We start from the raw sequence: 2,581 nt of genomic DNA on the forward strand, positions 1-2,581 counted from the left end.
TGTTGCCCAGGCTGGTCTCAAACTCCTGTCTTCAAGATATTATACTGATTTGGCTTCTCAAAGTGCTGGGATTACAGGTGTAAACCACTGTGCCCAGCCATAATTTTTTTAGAATTTTGACTTGAAGTATCTTCTTTAAATTATGTGCTTCCTTTAAAATATTACTACAGCTAAAACTTAATAGCTATTTTTTGTAAATATATAGAAAATACTTAAGTATGTGTGTTGATGTTATGATCTCAATTCAGTACATTTATAGCTCAACAGTTCCTATGGTTGTTGAATGGGATTCTCTTTTTGCCAGTTAATGTTAATATGACAAAATTGCAGAGACAATTCATAAGAAGTTTATTTTTATTTTTATTTCAATAGTTTTTGGGGTACAGGTGGTTTTCAGTTACCTGGATAAGTTATTTAGTAGTGATTTCTGAGATTCTGGTGCACCCATCACCTGAGCAGTGTAAGGTGTGCCCAAAAGACTGCTATATGTAGTCTTTTATCCCTCTCATCCCTCTCCCTTCTCCTCCCAAGTTTCCAGAGTATGTTATATCATTCTTATGCCTTTACATCCTCATAGTTTAGCTCCCACTTATAAGTGAGAACATATGATATTTGGTTTTTCATTTCTGAGTTACTTAGAATAATGGCCTCCAGCTCCAACCAAGTTGCTACAAAAGACATTATTTCATTCCTTTTTATGGCTGAGTTCATAAAAAGATTAAGTAAGACTGGCCGGGCACAGTGGCTCACGCCTATAATCCCAGCACTTTGGGAGGTCGAGGCAGGCTGATTGCTTGAAGTCAGGAGTTTGAGACCAGCCTGGCCAACATGGTGAAAACCCATTTCTACTAAAAATACAAAAAAGTAGCCAGGCGTGGTGGCACATGCCTGTAGTCCTAGCTACTCAGGAGGCTAAGGCAGGAGAATCGCTTGAACCTGGGAGGCAAAGGTTGCAGTGAGCCTACATGGCGCCACTTCACTCTAGCCTGGGTGACAGAGCAAGACTCCGTCTCAACAACAACAACAAAAAAAAAAAAAAAAAAAAAGAAGAAGAAGAAGAGGATTAAGTAAGTCTTTGCTGACCTCCATCAGTAGGTAAAAATTTTGTGTGATAGGCTCAAACACTGAAAACTTTCCCTTGTTGGGATAAAACCATGTGTATCTCCATTTCTAATACTGTATCCCAAGTATCACAACTGTGAGAAAGAGCTACTAAAAGCAGGGAAGGTTCAGAAGAAGACAAAGTAATCAGTGAAATGGGGAACCCCTCAATAACATACTAACCAGATTAAAACTCTAATTATCTTAAATGAAACAAACAAGGGCAGAGAGAAGACCTAACTGTAAAATTAAGAAGGGATAAAAAGTAAACAGAGTTGTTCATTAACTCATGAAATCATAGAATGAGAGGGCATCTCTTACCTTATTGAGGTAAGTTTAGTCCAGTTAGAGAGAAGTATAACTTCATATTAAAAAGTAAAACTCAGGCCAGGTGTGATAGCTCACGCCTTTAATCCCAGCACTTTGGGAGGCTGAGGTGGGTGGATTACCTGAGGTCAGGAGTTCGAGACCAGCCTGACCAATATGGTGAAACCCTGTCTCTACTAAAAATACAGAAGAAATTAGCTGGGGGTGGTGGCATGTGCCTATAGTCCCAGCAACTCAGGAGGCTGAGACAGGAGAATTGCTTGAACCCGGGAGGCGGAGGTTGCAGTGAGACGAGATCGCGCCAGTGCACTCCAGCCTGGGCAAAAGAGCAGGACTACATCTCAAAAAATAAAAATAAATAAATAAAACTCAGCCAATGTGGTGGCTCACACCTGTAATCCCAGCATTTTTGGAAGCCAAGGCAGGAGGACTGCTTGAACCCAGGAGTATTCAAGACCAGCCTGGGCAACATAGTGAGTTTCTACCAAAAAAAAAAAAATTTTTTTTTAATTAGTCTGGCGTGGTAGTGCACGTCTATAGTCCCAGCTACTTGGGTGGCTGAGGTGGGAGGATTGCTTGAGCCCAGGAGGTCAAGGCTGCAGTGAACTGTGATTTTGCCACTACAGTCCAGTCTGGGTGACACAACAAAACCCTGTCTCAAAAATATAAATAAATAAAAATCAATAAAATTTGTCCAGGTGTGGTGGCTCATGCCTGTAATCCCAGCATTTTGGGAGGCCGAGGTGGGTGGATTACCTGAGGTCAGGATTTTAAGAGCAGCCTGGCCAACATGGTGAAACCCCATCTCTACTAAAACTACAAAAATTAGTCAGCGTGGTGGTGCGCACCTGTAATCCCAGCTACTTGGGAGGCTGAGGCATGAGAAGTGCTTGAACCCGGGAGGCGGAGGTTGCAGTGAGCCGAGATGGAGCCACTGCACTCCAGCCTGGTTGGCACAGCAAAACTCTGTCTCAAAATAAATAAATAAATAAACATAAATAAATAAAATTCATATGACCCTAGGTGGGGAATTAATCAATTTTTTTTATAAGTTAAGATAAACCAGTGGCTGATAGAGTCCTAGTGAAGCGCAAAGAGTGGTAAGTACCTAACCTTTGATGTTGATATCTAGGAGGACAGCCAAGACTTGCCA

The sequence above is a fragment of the Homo sapiens genome, chromosome 15, assembly GCF_000001405.40.
Source record: "Homo sapiens chromosome 15, GRCh38.p14 Primary Assembly".
Taxonomy (NCBI): domain Eukaryota; kingdom Metazoa; phylum Chordata; class Mammalia; order Primates; family Hominidae; genus Homo; species Homo sapiens.